Source organism: Homo sapiens, chromosome 9 (assembly GCF_000001405.40).
Source record: "Homo sapiens chromosome 9, GRCh38.p14 Primary Assembly".
Classification (NCBI taxonomy): Eukaryota; Metazoa; Chordata; class Mammalia; order Primates; family Hominidae; genus Homo; species Homo sapiens.
In genome coordinates, this window is record NC_000009.12 from 16,645,813 (window position 1) to 16,672,982 (window position 27,170).

Consider the following 27,170-nt stretch of genomic DNA (forward strand, 5'->3'; position numbering starts at 1 on the left):
CACTTCTGTCCTAAAGGTATCTAGAGACCAGCAGGATTACAAGATCCTCTCAAGTAGCAACTCAGGTCCAGAACCATTCTGGGACTTCTGAGGCCTTTAAAACCTACAGAGAAAAACACTGAGGGCAGGATACATTATCGAAAATACACATCAGGAGACGCTCAAAGACAAAGTTCCTTTCAGGTCATTCCACAGGGTTCTGAAAAGGCCTTCGTATTGTTTCAGAATCCTCACTTGTACACAGCAACACGTCTACCTTCCAGTTAGCAAAACAGTTTCACAACGTAAGTGAGGATAGCAAAAGTTTTAAGATGTTCTAAACCATCTCAGTGAACTGGAGGTCACCATTCCTTCTGAAGTTCAGGATGTGAACCAAGAATACCCAGAAGCCTGAGAATTTGGGATGGGCATTCAGCCCACAGCTGGGGAATTCCAGCACCCTTGGGCAGGGAAGTAGTAAAAAAGTGAAAGTCTGATGACAGTCAACTATTTGTTAAACTCAAGAGTTGCTGCAATTTTAAGATGTCTCCACTATATAGAAACAACTCATAAAATATGTCTAAATATTCATTTTTTAAATGGCTGTTGTTTACAGTGAAATACTACTTGGTAATAAAGAAGACACAAACTACTAATACACACAACAATATGAGAAAAACAAACAAAAAAAGCCAGACACAACATAGTACATACTGTATGATCCAATTTATATAAAGTTCTTGAACAGGTAAAATGAATCTATTGTGACAAATCAAAATAATGGTTGCCTTAGGGGAAAGGAGATTAACTGGAAAAGGCATAAGGGAACATTATGGGGTAAAGAAAATGATACGTACTTTGGTTGGGGCGATAGTTTAATATGAGTATACACATTTTGTCACAACTCATAAACTGTACACTTAAAATGGGTCTATTTCATTCTGTGTAAATTGTACCCACATTTAAGAAATTCGGGGTTAAATTAAAAAAATCCTAAATTTCTAAAAGGGATGCAAAAATAGAAGAAAAGGTCACAAAGGGTATGAGATATTGTAACAGCTGGGAATCCATAGAGGGTCTACTGGGATGTCATCCATAGCTGAGTCCCCCGCATAAGTTACATAAGGTTCCCCATATGAAGTATCACAGACAGATCTGTTTCATTTGTCAGTTTAGTAGACCATGCCCACCCATGAGCAGACATGAGAGAGCAAGTTAAAAGTATTACATGTGGGGGAAAGGGGTGTCGGAAGACAAAGAGGAGAATGATGGTTGATTTTATTTAAATGCAACCTGGTTGTAGATGATATTTCCCATGTACACTCATATTCCTCAAGCAAACATCTACATATGGTTGTGTTTTCCTGATGTCTATCAGCCCTTCTTTGTTGAGATTTGGGCACAGCACATGTTCCAATTAACTCCACTCTTTGTTGCAACTTGCTGACTCGGGTGTCCCTTGCCAAAAAGGGGTAGGTGGTAGGTTACATAACAAGGATTGGGGTGGAATCTTATGTCAAGTCTGCACAGAGAATTGGCGGAATGTGTGTGGTACGGGTGGGGGCCGGTAGAAGGTAGAAAGAAAAAGGGAGACCACAGGAAGAATAACATCCTTAGACAGACTTTGACAGAGGCCGACCTGGTTAGCTATGTGGCTCAGGGAAAGGAGGTCAAAGGGTAGCCAAATGGAAGATAATGAATGGTCAATGCATAGAATGCAGAGAGAGTTTTTCTATTACACAATCATTTTTCCCCTAGGGTGACGCTTCTGGGAAAAGTGTAAGATGACAATGACTTTATGAAGAAGCTTGATCCAAGTGCAACCATGATGAGATTTTTGAGAATGAGGGAGAGAGAGGGTTTATCAGGTTAAAGGATAAAGTAGCCTTCAACAGAATTTTTCAAGTAAAATATAAGAGATTCATCAATATGTGTATTCCCATCAATTTAGTAAGTACAATACTGCTCACTAGAAAATAAATATTAAATATGATCCTCTTAGGCAGGTTTAATAAAGGTATCTTATACATTTAGATCAATATGCTATTCCAGTTCACTTGTGGATTAGCTAGTCTATTCCACTGCCATGAACTATATTTCTAATCTTATTCAACCATCTCCCAATTTTGAAAAATTTTATACATTAACAAAAATGAATTCCCACCACCAGAAAAAATTAAGTGACAGAAACTAAATACTAAAAGGCAATCACTGTAAAGTATCTCTGAGACTGGTCCCTTTGAAGACAAAATTACAGAGAGTCACCAATGTACGCAATAAAATATGTGTGTGTGTGTGTTTAAAAAAAGACATATGAAGTTTCTCAGCACTAAGCAACAAACATGGGCAAACATAAAAATTATTCACTAGAGAGATAAATGCTCTGCTGCTAATGTGAAGATTTCCTAGATGAGGCAGATGCTATGAAAAACGAAAACTGCTCCACTACTGGAATTATCATCACAGTTACTACTGCCATACACTTGGCTGTTTTTAACTAAAACTATATGGTTCAGAGATTCTTTGGGTTTCTATTTAAGACAGTAGAACATCAGGACACCAAGCTCTGAGGAGAAATGACAGAGGGCTAAATAAGGACTGCATGGTGATAGCAGTGATTGAGAACACATCCAGGTTCTATTAGCCAAGTCAAGAGAGATGTGTGTAATGCTGGAAAGCAGCTTAAAAACACAATTCTGAACATGGAATTCCTTTGGCTTCCTCGAAGACTAAGGACCTGGGAGAGGTGTCACAAGACAAACACTATTCACTGTGCCGAATGCAAAGTAATGAGGACAGAACTTATCATGACATGTTTAATAACATAATTTTGCTAAGGCGAACTAAGGGGTGGTTAATGAGGCTCCATCAAATAAGTTATGGAAATTGTGTCACCTGCAAACCACAAACTATCACATTAGTTAAGAGAAACATTTGACAAGCAGTTTCCAGTCTCTTGACCAATTCCACATTAGACAATCTTGCAAATGACATAATTAACACAGCTTACTTAACTCATCTCCATTTGCAATTCATTAGGAATAGTTTTTTAGCAGAATTATGCCCTCTAAAGGTGACCATGCACATAAGGGCAGTGAACAAGTATGAGGTACTCAAACTATGATAAAAATATAGTTTGAGTCAATCACTTTGAGTTAAAACCAATGATATCTTTATGTGCTAAAATAGCATAACGACTTAGTCGCCTTAGACTCTGTATGAAAGACAAAAACATAGAAGAAGTGTATCTTTGATATGTAAGTGTGTGAATGCATATATCATCCCATGCTTTGTACACTACTGGGATATCAAATGATTTCTACAAAAATCTGTGCGCACATCAAGTGAAAGAGAATGAGCCTGACTAACACAGAATTTCCAAAGGTCTTCCAGGACGGACTCACGGGCCCCAGCACACCCACTGCATCTTGGAGTTGCAAAGCAGTGTGTGCTATCCACCTGAACCACCCAGTGTTTTGAGAGGCCAGTGGTCTGCAGCTGACCAATTCTTTAAGAACCATTAGTTTTGAACAAGACTTTCCCAGAGTCCTTGAGAAGAGAAGACCTGGAAGACTGCTTTCTCAGACCCTTATAAATCACAAGGGAGAATCAAGTCCACTGGCGACAGATCTTTCTTTCCATAAGCCTAATGCTTTTCTTATGAACTATCACTAAACTCAGAGGAAAAGTAGGAGCACTGGTGCACAAGAGCTTACAATTAGAGACAGAAAAGGGAAGTATGGGAGAGGGAAAAGCATATTCTGTCTTCCTTTGTTTTGTGTTGTTTAGGGATTAAAAAACCATCAGTGACTACAAGCTTGAAAAGCCACTTCTACAGGCCTCTGTTTCTTTTAATCTTAAAATCTTATTTTATGTTCAAGTGGCACAATCTATAAGAGAAAGGCATCTATTTCTGATGTATAAATTATGAATTAGCCAAAATTTTGTTCCAGATGATACGTCAATAAACTTCATTTGTTTGAGAGGCCAATGCTATAGAATCATAAATAATATAGCACAAACTTTGGCTCAGCCTATACTAACATGCCAAGATCATTCGCTCAGTAGTAAACTTCAGAGGTACCCCAAAGAACAGAGCTATGGAGACACAGAGGCCTTCATAAATCTTCTGTAATCTTGCATTTTCAAAGTGTGGGCTAGGGGAACATTAAATTCTCACCCACAGTTTCCAAAATGGAGACACCGAAGAGGTTCATCCAATCTGATAAGCTTAGACCTGCAGTCAGCACTCAACCCTGGGTGCATGGCAGAGGAAGGCAAAGACCAAGAAAGCAAAAATGGAGATAAATGCACAGTTGGTTTCAAAAGGACTCTGCCCTGAATACGGAATATTAAAGGCATAATGTCATTCACAAGACACAGGAACTCTTTAAAATTCAAAACAATATTGACTGTCTGCAGGTATTCTTAAACGGAATTTTACTTGTCGACCATTTTTAATAAGGAACAGAGGGCATAAATAGGACCATTCCATTTAAATTAGATGTATTTTTAAATTGAAAGTGCATTGTGTCTCAGTGTAGGCAGGACTGAGCTCAACTGGTTAGGGCATCACTGATGTGTTCATGCCTTAGTGGTAAAATATTCTGTTTTTACCTATTCTTTAAAGAAAATTAAAGCCTTTTCAGTTCTTCATTCTTCCCTGTACACTCAAGGTAATTCCCGTCTGACATATGAATAACAGAGTCCACCAAACTGCCTGGCTGTTTTCACAGTAGAAAAGATTATTTCAAAATTTTTTTTTATTTTTTTTACACAGTAGACTAATTACTCACTGATTTGTGTTTATAAATAATGGCATTTCAGACCAAAGTCTGACTTCTATAAATATGTAATACAGCTTTAACTGGATTATATATAGGTAAATGTAGTATTATGCAGTATAGCATAATCAATTGCATTCAGAAAAGGGAAATATCTTATAGAAGCTTCTAGCTCAAAATATATTGCAGCTTCCAGGTAGCAAAAAAATTATTCACAAAGCTATGCCTTTTCCAATCCTAAGTGTCGCCTACTTTCCAAACTTTTAGAAAATTATAGGTCCACAAAGTTATGTTTGTGTAAGTTTTGTAAATATTGACATGTGCTATACGTAATGCAAAATATTTTTCACTTCTAAAAATTAATTTTATCTTGCTTTTCTTTCTAGTCAGATAACTCTTTAAAAACAACCATTTCTATATGCCTCGGTTTCCTCACCAGAAAGGATAGTAACTGTTTACCCTAAGATGCCACCCACTCATCCTATTCCACAGGGATATTTTAAGGATTAATGAAAAAATAAAGGTAAAGTGTTGTAAGCTATGCAAAAAAGAAGGCTTGAATACAGAAACAATGGTCATCTTAAGCTATACTTTCAAAAGAGACCGTTACGATGTTGTAACTATATCTACCTGTTCCTTTTCCAAGCTATCAGGTAGATATTACATCATGTATATTTCAAAATGAGAATCTGTTTATTCAATTGATGACTTCAATCAGTAAAAGAAAAACAAGTAACTTAAAAAGCCTATCATCTTAACCTTAGATTTCAGCTATAAGCAAAATCAGACCCACTTTACATTTCCCTTTATTACTCTGACAGATTCTAAATGCATCTTTACTTTACTATTACTTCAAATGATTCATATTACAAGATTTTGTCACAGAACTGGGGAAAACAATACAGGGTTTGGGTTTCTTACCCTCCACCAGTCACTTGTCCTAGAAGCTAAACAAAACTCCCAGCTCTGGCTGATCATGGCTGGGAGCTCATTAGGCTGTTCCTCACGTTAAATTACTGAAAAGGGTGATGTATTTATAATACAGCTTGCGATGCTATAAAATGGCTCATCAATCTGTTTTATTCATGGAAAGTCCACATAAGGCCACTAGTCTGTTACTGGCAATAAACCTTGGGTGCGTCTTCAAAAGACCTGCATATGAGATAGTGATTTATGTCTCTGTCCAAGAAATCAAACATGATACTAACAAGGCAAGGGATAACTCAACTGACACTTTCAAAAGCAATATAATTTCAGTAGTAAATCAAGTGACTATAACATATACGGAGAAGAGAGAAAGACGATTAGCATGTATATATTAAAATAAAAAATAGAGTGTTAAGAAATACCAATCCTGAGTGTTCAGATCTTAAACCATTCCTAATCTATTCTATGCATTATTTTTCTTAGATGGTATTTCTTACACAGCATATGTGTTCCTCAGCTCCCATTTTATAAGTGGAATATCCTTTTGTAAAGACATTGATATATCCTAAATAGTTTGCTTATTTTGTTAATACCCAAAGGCAGACTTGTTCAGCTGTTTCTAACCTCAAAATGTAAATCTGTTTTGGATGAGACATAAAGACCCAACAAAGAGAAACAAGAAATATTTAGAATCAACATAAGAAACCAAAATAATTAATTGAGTCATTGTTTTCAGATAATAGCACTTTTATTAGAATTTTTTTTCTCTCAGGAGTCTGCAAAACTCAATACTACACAGAGATCTCATACTATAAAAACAAGTAAAAACTAACTATAAAACAAATGTTTTTTTTTAACCATTGGGTTTTCTTTTAGGTTGCCAAACCAGTCACTTAAACAAATAGGATGAATGTGAAAATGGAGATGTAGAAAATAATGGGGCTTTTCACGAAAGTGAATGCCTTACTTGTTATTTTTATCTTCAGTGGTCTACTTTTTGAAAAATTCACTTTAATAAAAGATTTAAAGTGAATTATACAAATGTAATATAGTATTACACACATTGAACCTGTCTGCATTATTTTACTTGAAAAAGAGAAACCTCGTTTTTAAAGGAGAGGTTTTTACACCCTAAGTGCACATGATATCATCACTTTTCTTCCCCATCAGTGTGCCTCATATTTTCCTTCGGGCAAATCTGAAATCTACTGGAGTTTTTCCTCATGGACAGCTCAATCTTATGGACAGAAGTTGTGCATGCAACAACATTCCTAAAAGTGAAAGGGAGAAAGGCATCCTCCCTGTTATTGTTAGTCAAAATAAAACACTCAGCTTCAGCAAAGAGTAACTGAAACACCTTCTACTTGGAGGCAAGCATTTCTGGCAAACCGAAGTCTTGACACACCAAGCCCAACAGGAGATAGGGTATACTTCCTCAAGGGCACCCTGTGGGCCCTACTCCCTAATGGTTTACGGGATCAAGTTTTGAACTCTTGATTTCAAAATGTTGGCGGTTATATGTTTCTATTTATATTAGATGATCTCCAAATTACAAACTAGTATTTTTAGTTTAAAATTACCTGATTTTCAGAATAAATGAATTTTTTAAATGCTGCAAAATGACTTAAGAGTACAGTGAATTTTAAGACTATAAAGAGACCTGCAGATTCATATGGACAAATGGGTCTGTGTAGTTTTACTGTTAAACAACTTTTAAAATAACTGCAGATCAATTAAGTGTGACAGTTGATTACTCTTCCCCATCTCACCAAAGCTTTTGAAATAGAGAAGAGGGGAAACACACGCACTCACAAATGTAAGTGCCCACACACAGAAATCTCCCCTTCGATATGTACAAACAGAAAATAAACTATCTCCTCTTGCCGCCTTAAATACAAAATGCACACATATACACCATTGCCCAGACATCCTTCAGTTTATCTCACGGACAAATGAAATAAAAAGGGCTTCTTTTTGTGTGTTTTAAGACACACACAAAAAAGCACACACGCTCCCTCCAAGAATCCTGCCTCCAATTTTCTGTCACAAGGAGCACTCTGGGGGCCTGGCGGGGGAAGTGTTTGGGAAACAGAAGGAGCCGTTTCAGCAGGCATCGGTTTCTCTCTGTGCCTGTGAAGTGGACATTGGCATATCTTGCCTAGGCTGCTCCTGTGGGGTTCATCTGGTCGGCAGGGTGGGGAATAGTTGTCTGCACCATACCAAGGTCAGCCTGCTAGGTCTGACAGTCTCTGTCTCTGTACAAAGAAAAGAATCAATACTTTTGGACTACGGCTGTGCCCTCAGTGTAAAACAACAAACATGCAGCGTCTGACATGTTTCTAGGTGATTTGTGGCAGAACCTCTTGTCTGATCTGTATCCAGGAGCTGCTGTGTTACTGCTCTTTGCTTTTCGCCTCCCCCACTCCTTCCTCGGCCCCCCTCCTGCCTGCCCCAGCTCTGTGATGTCTAATACTTTACTCAGGTACAGAGGCGGGTGTTCTACCCTACAGCTACTTGTCACTCAATAAATCACACCTACAAGCGCAGTCTGCACAGAGTGATCTGGGCTTTAACAAAGGATCAGAGGGACAAAGTGCAGGCAAGATGCTGTAATTATAGCAAAAATAAAACATTCAGAGAGAGGGACAAAAGCACAGGCTCTTAGGCAACTACAGTAGAAATTGTATTTTTTGTCCTCTCTTTTGGTTTCACTCTCTTAATGCACTCCTCCCATCTTTCCTCTGCCGAACCCCAACACCATTTATTTTTGTTGTTCTTGCTCATTTTCATTCTAACTAGAGTTCAGGGCATAACATAAGCATTATTAAAGAGTCCATTAAAATAAACAATGCTCATCTCAGATGTTAAAATGTACGTAAGTTGTGCTAATGAAAGAGAGGCACTTTTAATAATTACCTTTACTATCTTCAGTTTATATCCTTATCTAAAATATTTGCGCATGCAGGTCCCAAATCCTCCTGAAACAGACCAAAACATAACAACAGTACCAAAAGACAGCTATTAATTATGACTTGAACTTAATTATTTGAACAGCCATTAAACAATTTAACTTACACAAAAACACACTTGTTTTGTCTGAGTTAATTTGTGTAGATATACTTCTTCAGTAAAATATTAACATATAGGTTGCTCAATTTGCTTTGGAACAATTTTATACTAGATCTGTTCTTTTTTACCCATCCCCCATGCCCCCAAATTTATTTTCCAGAGCCTGAACCATTAGCCAAGTCAGATAAGAAGGTTTTGGACAGTGTATTCTGTTCTAAATATTTTAAATGCAGCAGTTTGAGTTATCCCAGCAATTTCAGTCACATCAGACACCTCTTAATGCAGGAAAAATGACGTTCCATCATGGAGGTCTTGCACAAGTCTCTACTGTAACTGTTGCTGATGAAAATAAAAGTGAGTTAGAATAGCTCTACACTTCCTTCCTAGTCAATCAATGCCTGACAGCACCAGTTCCTTCAGCCATGTACTTCAGAAATGATAGATCAATAACTGTGGTTTAACAACAGGGAGCCACCAATCATTATACGAATGATTAAAAGGGGTCTCACTCACATACACCTCTGCAGACAGACTAGGCCACGAGATCAGAATCCTTGCCACATTATGCTTCATATTACAGAAATTCAAGTAAAGGAGGAAAAAACTGGGGGAGGGAAAATCATTACGATACAGCATAAAGGAAATATTAAATGCTTCATGACCATGCTAATTTTAAGCCACTATCTTAAAACACAAATTCTCCAAATTCACTAAAATAAAGATGAATAAAAGCAAATATGGGGGGACAGTGCTTATTGCTAAATCCTACAAAGCATCAATGTATTAAGATTACTTGGAATTTGCCCCTATACACACCTGCAGGCCGCATCTGCCGACAGTATGAGACTCAGGTAACTATCTTGGAAATCTCCCCTGCAGTGACTTATTTTATCTCACTGTATTACAGTTCCTCCTTGACTATCTATCTGAAAAGTCTAAAAGGCCATAAAAAGGCAGGACTATTTCATCCAGGAATAAAAAAAGTCCCTAGCACAAAACAAAATTCAAGCATTACTGACAAATTAATTAAATGAATGAATCAGACTTTTAAAAAATCGAGTCTCTTTTTGAAATAATTCTAACAAAAGATATTATACAACTTCCCTCACGTGCCTATTATAGAATATTTTCCTTGAATTCACTTATTACAAAGCAAAGCCTTTTATCAAACTACCAAACTGTTCCAAATGGCAAAATTCTCCACAATTGCTGACTTTCCTTTCTCATTTGTCTAGAGCAGCAGCGAACGACTGTCCTGGCATGCACAGTCAGGCAGCAAAGAACACGTGCTGACTGGGGGCCACTCTGATCTCAGTACTGTTCTAGAAGCCACAGATGTACTGACCTCTGACAGAATGAAGATGGACACGTGTGGACATATTCGCCACGCATTGTAAGTACTTCAGAAGAGGCACATACAAGGCAGTGTTCTTAATAGGGGAGGTTTGTCACCCAGGAAACACTGGGAATGTCTGGAGACACTTTTGGTTGTCACAACTGAGTGTGGAGGACAGTTACTGGTAGCTATGAGTAGAGGTCAAGAAGCTGCTGAATATCCCACAGTGTAGCACAAAGAATTATCCAACACAAAATGTTACCAGTTCCAAGGCTGAGTAACCCTGTGTGTAGGTGCTCAGGGAACACAGAAGAGAATGTGCTTAATTCTACCTCGAGAATGGAGGAAAGGGAGAACTCTACTCACCCGTAAAAGCAGGAGACAAGAAAAGTGGTTACAAGAAAGGACAAAGGGACGACAATGGGGCCACCCATGCTGAGGAGTTTCTGTCTCATTCGATGCACCAGGAGAACTGATGGTAGGATTCGGGGGTGGGGAGAGACAGAATTCACAGTACCAGTAGGAGAAACAGCCTCAAGAATGTTGAAAGTGGAGTCTGAAGTCAAGAAATAATGGAAGGCTCCCTCACCTCAAGATTTGCTGAGGTATAACTGGTATACAAAAAACCACACAAAATTAATGTCTACAATTTGGTGAGTTTGGATATATGTATGCATTCATGCTACCATCACCACAACCAGAATAATAAACATATTCATCATCTCCAAAAGCTTCCATGTGGACCTTTAGGGTTTTATTTGTTTTTGTTTTGTGGTATGAATGCTTAACATGAGAAGTACTGTCTTAACAAATTTCTAGATGCACAATATCATATTGTTAACTGTAGGCAATATGTTGTACAGCAGATCTCTGGGACTTATTCATCTTATATAACTAAATTTATACCCATTCAAAACAACTCCTCACAGAGGGAATCTTTACAAGATTAGAGGCACTGGGGATGCAGAATAATGAATGGGGAAACAGAAGTCAGTTGCCATTTAAAATTGGGGAAGGAGGTATGAGCTAGGGAGAAGGACAAGTCTAAGCTGACTTTCTGGTTTCTAGCCAGATGGTGATGCTATTTAAAGAACGGTGGAGGCTGACTATAGTGGGGCAAGGGTAGACACTAAAAATTTAGCTTCTGACTGGCTTAGTTTTGAAGTGGATCAACCGAGAGAGCTCCATACAAATATGGAGCCCTACAGAGAAGCCTGGGTTGGAGAAACAGGTGGGCAGTTAACATCAAATCTGCAGAAATTTAAAATAATGGGAATGAGTACAACTACCCCAAGTGTGCAGGTGAAAACCCAGTATAGAATACCTGGAAAAGATTTATGTTTAAAAGGATACAAAGATGAACTAGAAAACAAGGAGTCAGAAAAATAAAGATTGAACTGGAACAATGAAGAGTTAGAAAATCCAAAGACTTAAAGGTGGAGCAAAAGTGGTCAGTGGCATCAAATGTCACAGAGAAATAAGTAAAAAAAACAGAAACGCTTCTACAATATGCTTCAGATGAGAGGTCAGCGCTCCAGAGCTGTTGTTGTGGAGAAGACAAGAAACAGAAGCTAGACTGTGGGAGGCTAAGGCAGAAGAGGAAACAAATTTTTTATGTCCTCTTTCTAAAGGCTGAGTTCTGAATGGAAGTTGAGAGAAAGGGACTGCCAGATGGAAACAGAGGTGTGACTTGGCCATCAGTAGGCTGAAGGGAATGTGCTTGGACCAGAAAGAGGCTTATCGTGTATTAATAATAGGAAAGAATTAGAAATAAACTCTAGGAGAACTGTTTTATCCATATAATGGAATAATGTGCAGACTCTTAAAGATGATAGAAGGCTGTTCATAATATCAGACATACAAATACACAAATGCATCAATGACATTACATCATATCAATATTATATATCATACTATGATGTCACCTGAAGCATAATTTGTGGGGGCTACTTGGGATACATAGGTGTGTTGATCTTAGGGCAGGCCAGTTAGGGTTACAGATGATGTTCCTGCTTTTTGTAATCTCTGATTTTCTAAAATTCTTATGTTTAATATATGTAATAATACACTTTTAAAGGAATCAACCCCCTAAGTAGAATAAACAGAAGTTCAATAATAGACCGGAATTTCGGGACAAGAGAAGGGATGGCATCCATAGCACTCAGAGGTAGAAGGAGATCCTAATTTACTAATTTGCAAGGGAATGGGGACATCTCTACATTGCAATAAAACTGTGCAGCAATTTAGAAATTCTCCAAATCAGTAATACATGTAGAATGAGTGAAAATTTTCATTGTTAAACTATTTAGACATTTACAAAAATTTTCATATGTGTGCCATTAAGTGTTTTTGCAGTAATCTCAAAACATGGAAACAGCTATAAGGCTGGAGAATTTGGAGTCAGGGGGAGTACTGTAAGGGAGAGGGGGAAAAAAGAAAACAAAACTTTAAACAGCCCAGTATATTTTAGTCAATGTTCCTAAATGTCACTGTGAAACAAAGCCACTTCAGTTTCTACTACCTGAAACTAAAACACACATTACCCTGGTCAAATGCTTGGGTAAATGCTTGTTTTCACCGTGAATAGTCCCCATATTGTTCAGCATATCACCTCCTGGATTCCTTAATATTTTTTTTCCCATCAAATGGTCTAAGCCACAATTAGAGGGAACAGTTCCAATGTCAAATTCTTAACAATTCTCTTATCCTTCCAAATTCTGGGAAAGATCATAGGTCTTATAAGCATGTGCCCAGCCCTTTTCCTCCCCAGCATCAATAAACAACTTGGTCTGTCTCTTAAGGAAAGACTGTACTTTGCCTCACAGCTAATTTACCAACTATCCCAGAACAGACAATCCAGCTACCAAATAACCAGTGCTCTCTTTACCCAGATGTTGAAGGCACTCTTTCTTATGCCCACACCCCCCACCCAACTTTTTTCTCTTACACTCTTTTCCCTCTAAAAAGCAATGGCTGAAGGACACATTAGATTTTAAGGTGACAGTTTACATTGTCTTAAAATCATCAACTAGGATCAGAAAAATACATTACGCCGATACACAAACCATTGATCATCGCAACTGTCTCTTTTTTTGAATGTGATTAAACTTAAGCATGAATTCATTTGAGAGCTAGGTCCTAGAACAGTGGCTAACTTAAGAGAGGTACTCAATAAATATTTGCTGAATGGCTGAATGGATGGATAGATGGACAGGTGTGGGTAAATGGCAGATGGATGGCGGGGGGGGGCATGTGAATGCACACACGTGCACTGACTTAATGCAGAGGGCCCTGACAATAGTATTACAGTCAAATTCTATTGTACCGCCATGTAAAAGGGCTCTCCGTTTCATCGTGCCCTTCTGCAATTTCAGGACCCCTGTTCACTGGCAACCACGCTGCTTCTCAAAATCCCAAGCTTGCGGCGGGCACAGTGGCTCACGCGTAATCACAGCACTTTGGGGGGCCGAGGTGGGCAGATCAGGAGGTCAGGAGATTGAGACCATCCTGGCCAACATGGTGAAACCCCATCTCTACTAAAAACACAAAAATTAGCTGTGTGTGGTGGTGCATGCCTGTAATCCCAGCTACTCGGGAGGCTGAGGCAGGAGAATCGCTTGAACCCAGGAGGCGGAAATTGAAGTTAGCCGAGATTGCACCACTGCACTCCAGCCCGGTGACAGAGCGAGACTCCGTCTCAAAAAAAAAAAAAAAAAAATTACCAAGCTTGTTTCTGCATCAGGGTCTTTGTCATTGTTGTTCTCTCTGCTAGAATATTCTTCCCTTGATCTGTGCAGGGCTTGCTCTCTCATTTTATTCAGTTCTCTGCTCAACTGTCATCTCCTCAGCGTTGCTTTTCTTGGCCACACGATGTAAAATAACAGGCTCCTCTCTAGCCTCACTTCCCATCCCCTTATTCTCTGCTTTTTTCTTCATAGCCCTTATTATACTCCCTATCTTATATGTTCTTTACTATTTGTCTTCTCCACTAGAATATAATCTCCAAGGGGAAAGGACTTTGTTACACTGTACCTCCAGCAACCAAATAGATGCCTGAAACAGAATTATATGTTCAGTTAATATCTGTATTCAGCCAAATTATTCCCTGCAAAATATTTTACAAATCTAACATCTCACCCCCAAATAAGTTTTACTCACACTAGGGACCCCATAATTAGTTGTTCTCCAATTGTACTATTTACTAGCACTTTGCATCCCTTGCCCACAATGTCTTGGACTTCCCCTTGAAAATTACACATCTTTGGGGCCGGGCGCGGTGGCTCAAGCCTGTAATCCCAGCACTTCGGGAGGCCGAGTCGGGCGGATCACCTGAGGTTGGCAGTTCAAGACCAGCCTGTCCAACATGGAGAAACTCTGTCTCTACTAAAAATACAAAATTAACCAGGCGTGGTGGCACACGCCTGTAATCCCAGCTACTAGGGAGGCTGAGGAAGGAGAATAGCTTGAACCTGGGAGGCAGAAGTTGCAGTGAGCTGAGATCGTGCCACTGCACTCCAGACTGGGCCATAAGAGCGAAAGTCCATCTCAAAAAAAAAAAAAAAATACATACCACTTTGTATTAGTTCCTTGTTTATGTGTGCACCTCCTACTCTTTAGCAGAACATAAGCTGCCTAAGGTATCCAATAGCACGGACTATAATTAGCCTTCACAAACAAAGCCAAACTTTATTGGATAGCAGAAAAAGAGAAAGGACAAAAAGGGGGAAAAACTAAGTTTCCACAGAATGTGCCAGCCAATATGACTGCTATACAATAGGCCCTCTGTATCTGTGGGTTCTGCATCCATGAATTCAACCAACTGCAGATTGAAAATACTCAGGAAAAAAAAATAACAACACAACAATAAAAATAATAGTAATTTAAAAATCAATACAGTATACCAATTATTTACATAGTATTTACATTTTATATTATACTATGTATTGTAAGTAATATAGAGATGATTTCAAGTGTACGGGAGGATGGACATAGATTATATGCATAGTAATGCCATTTATAAGGAACTAAACCGTCCTCAAATTTTGGTATTTGAGGGAGGTCCTGGAACCAATTCTCTACAGATACTGAAGGATGACTGTAGATGATCTAACTTAATCCTAAATATTCTAAAGTGTATATACCATTATTCCCATTTTAAATGTAAGGAAACTGAGGCTCAAGAAAAGCAATTAACCTTCCCAACGTCATGTGGTAAAATTGATTTTACAACCTAGGGGTTCCTTTCTTCATTCCTAGAGAGAAAGAAGGTGTGAGCCCTTACCTCATTCCTGTATCATCAGAAGAACAGATGTAATGGGTAATATACTCATCTTCTAACAAAAAAACCCTAGGTTTTAAGTCTTACTATAGCTAGTCCTTATTAACTGTTTGAACTTACTTGGATAAACCACATAAACTCTCTCAACCAGTTTCCTCATTTATAAAACAGCATGTACCACCTGCCCTTACTAAATCACAAGTTTACTTGGAGACTGACTTCAATAGTATATGGGGAAGTGATCAGTATACTATATAGCTGTATGTTAGTTCCCCAGAGATGAAAACAAAGCTAAGGTATGTATTATAGAAGACTCTGGAGTCCTCTGTCTCATAATTTCCGAGGCCATTAAAGTTTAGTGTTATCAGTTTCCTCTCTGCACTCAGGGATTCCCTCCATCAGAGTTCCAATATATTAATATTTCTATTGCTTTGGAGACTCCTATTAAGCAGGCATGAACATCTAATGATCTTATTTTCATGTCTATTTCTAAAGACTACATGTGTTGTGTGTGTGTGATTTGTTGTGAGAACATTCCTGAACTTAAAAACATCAATAAAATTAATTTCTTAAGATGTTTTTAATGTCCATGTAAATACACATAAGAAAAATTATTTTGTAAATGTCTACTACAGAGTTAAATAATAACAGAGGTTTTTAAAAATAAAACCAAACCATTTAATGCATAAAACTAATCTGAAATTATTTAACTCAACTACTTAGACAACTCCTTAGCATCAAAGACAAGTGACAGAGCAGGTCTAAGCTTTAAGTGTGTAGAAAACCACACTAACAATTGTCTTTAAACCACTAGTTATTTCGAACAGCTGCCAACATGTTTCCCTAGAAAAACAGATTGGGATTTAGGACCTTAAAAGTGATACCAGTTTGGTTAACCATTCAAAAGGAAATTTCTACTCAAGCTGTTAAACTCCCAATATTTCTCCTTCAGAGGGGAAAACATTCACATATTAGTTCATGAGTCTACTTTGTGTACTCAGAATAGATATTCTGGTCCTCTAAATGGTAGATGATGTGATGCTACATATTTAAAACATTCTAGAGCATATGGCTCAAAAAAGTAAACACAACAAACCTATGAAGTGTACAACAGGGCAAGGTCTCATTCTACTCTACACTAATTACACCACATCGCCAATACTTTATTTAAATTCTAGGAGTCATACCTTAAAATAAATACTGATTACAATGAGGCATGGTCAGAGGTAATTGGCCAGATTTTAACTCATCACAAGAGAAAATACCCGGGCTGAGCGTAGTGGCTCATGTCTGTAATTCCAGCACTTTGGGAGACCAAGGCAGGTGCATCACCTGAGGTCAAGAGTTCAAGGCCAGCCTGGCCAATATGGTGAAACCTCGTCTCCACTAAACATACAAAAATTAGCTGAACATGGTGGTGCATGCCTGTAGTCTCAGCTACTCAGGAGGCTGAGGCAGGAGAATCATTTAAACCCAGGAGGTGGAGGTTGCAGTGAGCTGAGATCAGGCCACTGCACTCCAGCCTGGGTGACAGAGTGAGACTGTCTCAAAAAATAAAATAAAACAAGAGAAAATATCCTACCTAAAACAGAAAAAGGAATGAATATTTGATGGCATAAAATCAGGGAGACTTTCTACTGCTTCCTTCTCTAGAAACACCATTCTTAAAAGGTTACTAAATCAATGTGTTTTTATTATAATTTTAAACAAATGCTTTTAAAGTTGCTATTACCTGCAGTAAGTGCCTTAAACAGTAGTAGCAATAGAAAAAGGAAAGCTTATGATCTGCCCTCAAGGAGGTTACAGTCTATTCTGGTTATACCCTTTCTGATTATCTCATCTGCTTCACTATACAGCCAAGTGATTTCATCAATAACATCCCTAACACCTCCCCTACTCGCTCGCTCAATTCCAGTGATCCATAGGCACTCCACTCTGTTTACTCTTTTTTTTTTTTTTTTGGAGACGGAGTCTTGCCCTGTTGCCCAGGCTAGAGTGCAGTGGCGCAATCCCGGCTCACTGCAACCTCCACCTCCCGGGTTCAAGCCATTCTCCTGCCTCAGCCGCCCGAGTAGCTGGGCTGATTACAGGCGCCCGCCACCGTCCCTGGCTAATTTTTGTATTTTTAGTAGAGACAGGGTTTCACCATCTTGGGGCTCGTCTCAAACTCCTAACCTCATGATCCACTGGCCTCAGCCTCCCAAAGTGCTGGGATTACAGGCGTGAGCTACCATGCCTGGCCCACTCTGTTTTCAAACTAATACAAATATGAGTTCTTTCTAATTTACCAAGAAGGTTATGTATTCCAGCTCTGTGATTCTGGACTATACTATAAAAAGAAGGGACTGAACTTCATGATCTCTAATATTATGATATTCTTGGTACTAATATTCTAGTTCTTAGAATATTTGCTCTAAAATTATGTATTTCTGTAACTGCATTCCGGTGACTTTACACAGGTAAAAAACACAAAAGAGCATTTCAAAAATCTCAGAAAGAGTAATAATGTCCAATAGCGTCAATTCAAATGTGCCTGCTGGGATATCTAATCCACTGAACAAAATTTTAAAGAGTCAGGTGTGAATATTATTTCCTTACTTAATAAGAAAGAAAAAAATCTGAAAGCAGACACATGAAAACAGATTTTTCCAAATAAATTTTTGCCTTAATAAGTAATTTCCTCATTGAATAAATGTACTGTTAAACCTATAGAAACTTGCCTAGAGTCTACCTATAAAGTCTTGCTATATTAAATGTGTGGTCCAAAACAAGGGAGGAGGTAAGCCCCTGGCAAGAAAAGGGCTAACCCAACTAACGTGCCATTATTATTAGAGATTAGTTATGAAAACTTAACCCTCCATTGATCCTCGATTCCACCTTTATCCTGCTTCTCGAAATAATAGGCCTTTATTCCTCCTGTTTCCCAATGTAAAGGGAAATACCACGACAAAAAAATGACACTCTGGACTTGTGACATCAGTATTCATTTCATCTCAAACACTGAATTTGATAGGGAATGCTCCACGTTATTGATTTCCTAAACATACTTCAGAGTCCCAAGGTTGTCCCTCCTTTCCACGCCAGTCCTTCCCTGGCTGGCATCTACATATTTTGTTGCTCAGAGGCATGCTAAATCTTCCCTAATGCTGCACTTTGCCCAGAATGTCTGACTCTCACTACCCCTCCCAACCACAAGTTCATGGGTCCAGAACTTTCCTATCCAGAGAAATTCCACTACAATTGCATCCAACCATGGTCTTGACTCATAAGCCTATACCAAGTTTTTGCTCAAGGCCTCTCTCCTTTTAGCTGAGACTGTCTGGGGACACTGAAGAGAATTTCTGGCCTTGTAGGAAGCAACTACAACTTCAGGGTTTCTATGCGGTAAAAATTCCTGTAAACTGCCTGTATCCTAATCTGGTCTGGTGTTGGGTAGGATGCTCATCAATGACAGATTCATAAAAATGAAAGGAAAATAAAAGTAGGGGCAATAAGGGTATTCAGGAAAAAAACAAAAACAAAAAAAACAAAAAAAAACAAAAACAAAAAAAAACAGGGGATCTACAAGAGACCCAATAAGGAGAAGGTTTTGTTGTCCTCAGCTGAAAACGCTGTTCTGCTCTGGAATAAACTCTCAGAATTCATGTCCACGTGAAATGTGAGCACCAGAATGCTTCACCTATACCATAAGCATTGTGCTGATGCTGCCTACACCCTGCCTATTCTTAGATTCAGAATATAGTGAATCTTAAATTCAGAATAGGCAGGTTATAGGCAGCATTAGCACAATGCTTCATGGCAGAAGCAGGGAAGTGCCTTAGATATCACAGCAACTATCCTAAACTAGACCTGTAACTTCTTTATAAATTAAGGAAGTACCTTAGAAATCATAGCAACTTTCAGCCGGGTGCAGTGGCTCACGCCTGTAATCCCAGCACTTTGGAAGTCCAAGACGGGTGGATCACCTGAGGTCAGGAGTTTGAGACCAGCCTGAAAAACAAGGTGAAATCCTGTTTCTACTAAAAATAGAAAAAATTAGCCAGGCATGGTGGTGCATGCCTGTAATCCCAGCTACTCCAGAGGCTGAGGCAGGAGAACTGCTTGAACCTAGGAGGTGGAGGTTGCAGTAAGCTAAGACCGTGCCACTGTACTCCAGCCTGGGCAATAAGAGTGAACCTCTGTCTCAAAAAAAAAAAAAAAAAGAGAGAGAGAGAGAGAAAGAGAGAAAAGAAAGGAAAGAAAGGAAAGAAAAGAAAGAAAGAAAGAAAGAAAGAAAGAAAGAAAGAAAGAAAGAAAGAAAGAAAGAGAGAGAGAGAAATCACAGCAAATTTCCTAAACTAGACCTGTAAATTCTTTGAGGTTGAGCAGTTCTTACCATCTTATTTTACCATTTGACACTATTTTATGCTACTAAGCATGAAAGTGTGTTTAATATTTGACTAGCATCATGAATTTATAGTCAAGACTGATTCAGAGATATGAAAATGCATAATGCAAGTTAATTTTCTAATCAGAACAAAATTTATTTCCTCTGAAACCAAGCCCTGGAACTGCACGGATCTAGGCACTCTGGAGTTAGTATCATTACAAACATGATCCTTACTAAGTAGGCATTTCATTTCTTAAAAATTATAATCCTAAACGATCTGTAAACAAATACTTCCTACCTGTTGAACCTCTCCTAGTAAATCATCTGTAACTAATTGAAAAAAACACATATTTCCATGATTAGTTTTTCAGTCATACTTGCAATAAGGACTTCCAGGATTAAAAATATTAAAGAAACTATCTTTAAAATTTTATCTGGTAAATTATCCCCATTTTTTTCCTTGTGCCATTTCAATGCAGATATTTATTTGTTAAAACACAGTAATTTTAATAACTACTTCATTGACAACTACTTTCAATGAGTTATTTCTTGTATAAAATTTGAATTCATATTTCAATAAATAGGAGATCATGTGGGTTTTTTAGAATATTTTTCCCATAAAATACATTTTTTTTTCTATGAAGAGCTACCTTCTAACATACTTTCCTCCAGAGCTATAGTTTGCCAGAGGGCATCTCTATCTATCTGATTTTGGTCTCATCTTCAGTTCTCTGTTTTCTTCACTCTGGTAATGTTGGCATTCCCTTGATCTCTGCTATGTCCGCTGCAAATGTTCTCTCCTATAACTCTATATAGAAATTTTATTTGGTTTTTCTCAACATCATGAATCCTCCAATAAAGCAGGTAGGTGGCATTAAAGATATTTAACGTGCTTCATTAAAAGAGAGAAACAACAGCTTAAAAACACACGCACAGAAAGGTTACCGACCAACACTATCAATTCTCTAAATGCTACAATGCAACTGACAACACAGTAAACAACATCTAAGCTATCTTGGCAATTAAGTAAAAACATCTTTCAAGAAACCACAGGTCAGCTTTCATTACTGAGACTCACTGGGTGATTCTGGAGCTAAACACTTCAACACACATCCAGCAGACCTGTTTTCCTAGTTTAAACATGGTATCTAAACAGCAAATATATCTGTTTTGCCGCCCATCTGAAATGTAGTCTACACTAATCTATACAAAGCCAGATGCACACACGTTTTGAAGCAATATATTCTTAACAAATTTTTCATGTTTTGAGGAAGTGCTAATTCACTTAAATGTAGTTAGCATTATTCAACCTGAACATTTTGTTTGCCTGACATATTTTGATTTTTTTTCTGCTTCAGTCTACAGTTAAAAAATTCACAGATAAATTCAAATAGTTATGAACTAGTACCAGAGTGATATTACACTCTGAAAAAATTTAAAACCAATAAAGAACACTGTAGGCTTCCTATTTCCACTAAAAAGCTAAATACTAATTTCAGAAAAGCACACATCACTCAGATACACATACACACACACACACACACACACACACACGCACACACGCACACACGCCGATGTTATAAAAGTACTGTCACTAGAATACATGTTTTGGTTGTTTATCCAAATGGTAATGAGATGTGATGATCTACCTTCTTTAGCCAAGTCCTCTTTTGTAATAATAGCATCCATTTATTTAACAGCTAACCAAAATTTGGAGTGCTGTCTATGTTTATTCAAGGAGTTTTTCCTTTTGCAAATTTAACCGGCCTATACAAGAATAAAATCCACAATCAAGCTCTTGTTAGTTCCATGATCTCCTCAACTGAGATTAGGTGGTAAAAACAACTAAAGCATTGTTACTGACAAGATAATCAACATTGTAGTTAATTGAAAATTAACAGTGGGACTCTCCACTTAGTGCCAAATGTAGTAATTTGAGGTGGTCATCCTTAACAGTCCAAGAAAGTCGATTTCCAATTATCAGAAAGTGAGGATTATCTGAGCAAATAATACTTTCAACTTCTTCTTGACATAATTAAATTAAATGAGATAGCCTTTTGACAGCATTTTCTTTCTAGCATAAATTATTTAGATATAATCAAACAAGAAATGTTTTGAAACCAAAACATTTACCACATTTGTAATATGAAAGTTAAGAAAGGTATAGTTCAAGTTTATATACAGAAAAAAATATAGCATATGTTTTGAGGACCTACTATGTATGGGGCACTATGCTGGATACAAGGATATACAAAGATCAACACAACTTTATTCTTGCCCTCAAGGAGAGCATCTTTTAGGTGGGCTTACCTATTCTCCACTCTATTTGCACCCCAAAACACTATTCAAGAACTCAACTAAAACTCCATCCCCTTTTTAAATTCTTCCTTGGTTTTCCTGTCCTCTGTGATTCCATGGCACAAAGATTGGCATTTATCACATCAAGCAATTATTAGGTACGTTCCTACTAAGTGCCAGACGCAATGGTAAGTGCTGAGACCTGAAAGATGAACAGGACTAAACCTGTCCTTCGGGAAGATCACATTTAGCGAAGCTCCCATGGAAAGACCAGCTTATTTTTATGCACCTTGTTTTTCTTCTAAAGGAAGGAGACCTCACTGGGAGACCTCACTGTGTTGCCCAGGCTAGTCTGGAAGAGATCCTCCTGCCTCAGCCTCCTGAGCAGCTGAGACTATAGTCACAAACCACTGCACCTAGCTTCTTCTTATGCATCTTTACACTGCCAGCCCCTGGCATACCGCGGGAGCTCGATGTGTTAATTAAGTATCCTATGAAAAGACCTTTAGATGAGAAATCAGAAAACCATTGTGACACTCTGGGCCTCACTTTTTCCACCAAACAATGCAGTCATTGTCATTCTCCGATATGATCTCAGGGTATACCATACATGAGTGAATATTCTGATTTCAAGTGAGAGTGGTAAACATACTTAACAACGTCAGGATGTACTTTAAACAATTTTAAACCCCTCTAAGCTATGATTAGTTCAATGACTAGGCCTATGCTAAAATACCATCTTGAAACATTATTGTAGCCATTATTGTGGAATTTACTTTCTGATTTTGATATATTGAGTTCTTTTCTTGTCTCCCCTTATCCACAGATGTATAATTTGGGTCTGCTGTATTCTTTCAAAGGAAGAATTGGCAGGGTGGTTGCTGTTACCTAGGGTAAGTGTGTAATCTCTTTGACTTTCTCTTGTTGGGCAAACTGCCCAGTGAATATCAATTTTTTTAGAGCTACAAATACGGTTTTAATAGATTCACAGATTTTAAATTATTATAATTCAGAGCACGTCTCTCCCAGGGTGAGCAAATAATTCACAACAATCCATGAGATGCAAAGGAGATGACAATGGATCAATCTGTATGTGAGTAAGTTGACGCAGTGCTTTACTGTTCCTTCTGTCTCTACAGACCCCACCCCCCTCAAGACACACGATTTTCATATGAAAAAAATTGCTTTGGTGTATGAAAGTTTAAATTAGTCATAATACCCACTTTGGGGACTGAGGAAGACTTACTGTAAATCAGCCACTCAGAAACCACATTTGACATATTTTGGTTATAATGTAACTATAAGTTGCATAATATTGTACGTATTGATTGGAGCCTGAGAATATAATGGAAAGCAACTGCCATATATTGAAAGTGACCAACCACAAGATAAAAAATTGTTCCTGAAGAGCCCACTAAGGGAGTAATTTTCCTTATAATCTAAAACTCCTTATCCTCTAGATGGAATATTCTATCACACCCCCAGGTTACATTTTGCCCTAAAGGTGCTAAGGTATGTTAACCTCAAATAATCCAACTATCCAACTCCCTCAGATCAAGAGAAAGTTCTAGCAGAGTAAACTAAATTTTTCCTTTATTGAAACAGTACTGGCTATTGTGAATTGGAGCAAAATAGCAAATGAGATGCACATCTCACTAGACAGCAACTTCCAATTGGTTGAGGATCTTATAACAGTTATAAATTCTTAGTAGAATCAGGCCCTCTGTTGTTTCTCTGTCCTGGTCTTTTACCTTTAAAATACAATAACTTATTGAGGGAATTAAAGTATGTGAGATACTATGTTATGCATTGGCAAGGTGTTCCTTCCATCTACCTGCACAAATAGAGAACTACTTCTTCTCTAACTGCTTAAATTATCATTCCTATAAGCAGTACATATTTCTTTAAACAGAAACAACCAGAAAGAAATCAGATACCACGGAAAAAGAAATGAAGATCAGCTCATCCACTTATAAGAAGCAAAAACGTGTTAGAAACTTGAACTGCAGCTTAGAGTGGACGGTAGGAAACTTTGATGTGGTTTCATCTCCTCTGCATGATACATGATAATAGTTAACCTTATAATTTGTGGACCATGACTCCAATAAAAATATGTAACTACAATTTAAAAACATATAATAATTGTGTAATTCAACTGCTTTTGTTAGAAGTTGGTTTCTGAAACAGATTCTTCTATCAAATAAGTACTGAAAGCATGCATAATGTTTCAATCCCACTGGGTACTATTTTTAGTTTTTCCTTACACTCTTCTCTAAATCTTCACTGATCTATCATATGTCATGGTTTAATAGAAGCATTAACTATACCTATTCGGGTTCCTAGGACCATTGGAAAATGCCAGTAAAGATTTGGGTCTACTTTTGAACATCTGAAAGAGCCAAATTACCCTGTGGCAGAATTCTGCTAAATACCTCTATTTAGAATATACATATAGAATATAAACATAAATAAAATATATTAGAGACAAGGTCTCACTCTGTCACCCAGGCTGGAATTCAGGGCGCGATCATAGTTCACTGTTCCCTTGAACTTCTGGGCTCAAGTCATCTTCCCACCTCTGCCTCCCAAAGTGCTGGGATTACAAGCATGAGCCACTGTATCCAGCCAATTTAAGAAGAATATTAAGAGTGGCTGAATAGCTGACAACTTTCTCCCACTCCAAAATCAAGGACATAGGATATAACTGTTTTATGCTTTAGTGTGGATAAAGCAGTAGACTTGTGTTAATAAAAGGGAAATGCGTTACCTATTCTAGATCATTCTGGTCCTAATGGTGAATGACCAATGTTCCAAGAGGTAAGATAAAATTATTGAAGGAAATGCAAACAATCCCTTCAAGTAACAAAGTGATGGTAAAGGTATACGTGAACTCACCTGAGAAGTACACTACAATAAATGCAAGAAAAGAGAAATTCAGAACAGCAAATACTCCAGAGCTCTCTATGCTTTTAGACCAAAACCAAAAACAATGTATGGGTTCCTTGGACTACTTAAAAATCCTCTCTGTCACGTCTCTTATTCTAGCCGCATGAACCAACTTCCCCCACTGATCGCTAATTAGCACCTTCCCCTGAGCTTGCCCCACCTGAGTCATGCTTCCTGACAACCTGAAGACGCACATGCACAAGCCAAAAAGTGTGGGAAGTTCATGCTCAGACGGCCATACGGATCAAGGGAAATGAGAGCCAATGGTTAAATATTTCCTCAGAAGGCCTCAGAGAGAATGAGAACCCATCAGTTGTGGCACTGATCATCTCAGTAATTCATCTTTGTGTTGGTTTTCCCTGGTCCTTCATTTCTACTCTAGGATCCTCCCTAAACAAAATGCCTTCATGCAAGTCACTCTCTCAACTGTTTACATAAGGGCCCACATCACATCGGCTCCTCCTAAAAGACATCCTAAAATGTATGGATAAAATAATATGTGATTGCATCAAAATGAACGAAAAGGTGAAGCAATGAAATAACTCACAGGAAAAAGGAAAGGATAAGTGGTAAAAAGAAAAGAGCTAGGGAAGTGCAGAAAGGCTGGAGAACACATCTAGCCTTTCACATCCAAAAGAACAGGCAGCCCATGGAAAAGCCAAACTCAGGAGACAATCTCTGTACAGTGCCTTTACCCCAACATCAGCCTTTACCTTTACCACGAGGGGTTCTGTTTGACAGAAAATTAGACTATATCCCAGAGTTTCTCATCAGCTCTGGTCCTATGCATCACTTCCAAAATAGAAACTGGACATACAGCTCATACTGTTTACTCAGCTCATTGAAGCCTGCCTCCCATGAGATTTGAGAAGCAGGCTCTGGTTGGCAAGTAAAGGAGAGCAGTTGGCCCACCGTTAGTCACCTCTTTAACCCAGAAGGCATCTTGTTTCACCATATGCCTGAACTCCAGTCAGCAGATCCTGGTTTTAACACTGGTTTGACAAGTACTGTTCTGAAAGGCTTACAGAAAACAGACCCAAACTCCACCAAATATATCTACATAGCTCAACAATGACTGAAAATGCAAGTTGCATAATCTAGAACAGAGCCAAGTGTAACAGTGAAAATATACCTGTACATACATTGTAAGGTTGTCTTATGCCACAGTTTCTCTCATTAAGCAAACTCTGAACAAATCATTCATGGGTGATTGGTCACAAATCTTTTAGTGGTTACTGATTCACAAAACCACAGAAATAATACATACTCTGCTAACAGCAAGGGGTGTTGCTATGGCATCACAGATAATCACAGGTGAAACAGGGAGATCTGGGGCACTCCTATGAAGATGAGACAAAAGATCTTTAAAATAATACATCCAAATATCTGACATGTCAAATTGAAAATGTTTAACATTGGCCGGACGCGGTGGCTCATGCCTGTAATCCCAGCACTTTGGGAGGCCGAGGCGGGCGGATCACGAGGTCAGGAGATCCAGACGGTCCTGGCTAACACGGTGAAACCCCGTCTCTACTAAAAATACAAAAAATTAGCTGGGCATGGTGGCGGGCACCTGTAGCCCCAGCTACTCAGGAGGCTGAGGCAGGAGAATGGCGTGAACCCGGGAGGCAGAGTTTGCAGTGAGCAGAGATCGTGCCACTGCACTCCAGCCTGGGCGACAGAGCAAGATCCATCTCAAAAAAAAAGAAAATGTTTAACATCAACTATAGACCAATCCAGAGCAAAAAATCCTAACTGTTCAGGACAAAATGAAATCATAATTACGATTTTATCGTATCACACTCATAATCACCCTATGCATAATCCTAAAAGAACATTGTTCTAAATCCATTCTCTTTATGAGATTAAGTAGGAACAACAAACTCCAGCCATCAGGCTCCATTCATAAAAGGTTTTACAAGAGAGATTACATGTGACATTTTTTTCCTACAATTTATTAGTTACTTTATTGGACACTGTCGCCAAATTCTGCTAAAGAGTAAGAGAACACCATGGAGTAGTGAAGCAATCTAAGAGCAAGGTAAATAAAATCTACATCTTTAACTTTCCAAAAACAAAGTTCTCATTTGGGGACATAAAGAAACCAACTTCACGGAGTCAAAGGAATAGAGACAAGGAAAGAAAGCAGGGTAAACAACACGAAGCAAAAATCCTGAATCAAAT

At 38.3% G+C, this 27,170-nt stretch overlaps 1 protein-coding gene across 37 annotated transcripts in view, besides 1 other annotated feature; it reads right to left on the minus strand.

Annotated features, from left to right (window-relative positions):
• The window catches only part of BNC2 (basonuclin zinc finger protein 2), a 461,168-nt gene that overhangs the window by 236,310 nt on the left and 197,688 nt on the right, over positions 1-27,170 (minus strand). For 3 of the 37 annotated variants that reach the window (XM_047423503.1, XM_047423516.1, XM_047423504.1), the window contains exon 1: positions 19,253-19,357. The exons of 33 other annotated variants lie outside the window; for them this stretch is intronic. In XM_047423503.1, the coding sequence (XP_047279459.1) occupies positions 19,253-19,264 (12 nt within the window). In that variant the 5' untranslated portion in view covers positions 19,265-19,357. Of the gene's footprint in view, positions 8,604-19,252; positions 19,358-27,170 lie in introns of those variants that run through there. One more of the 37 variants, XM_047423497.1, reaches the window with a different exon arrangement.
• Positions 7,462-7,962: an enhancer, noted in NCBI's record as "H3K27ac hESC enhancer chr9:16653272-16653772 (GRCh37/hg19 assembly coordinates)". NCBI's record gives its function as "activates a minimal SCP1, AML or CMV promoter by ChIP-STARR-seq in primed H9 embryonic stem cells {active_cell/tissue: H9 hESC(primed)}" and the evidence as "EXISTENCE:reporter gene assay evidence [ECO:0000049][PMID:30033119]".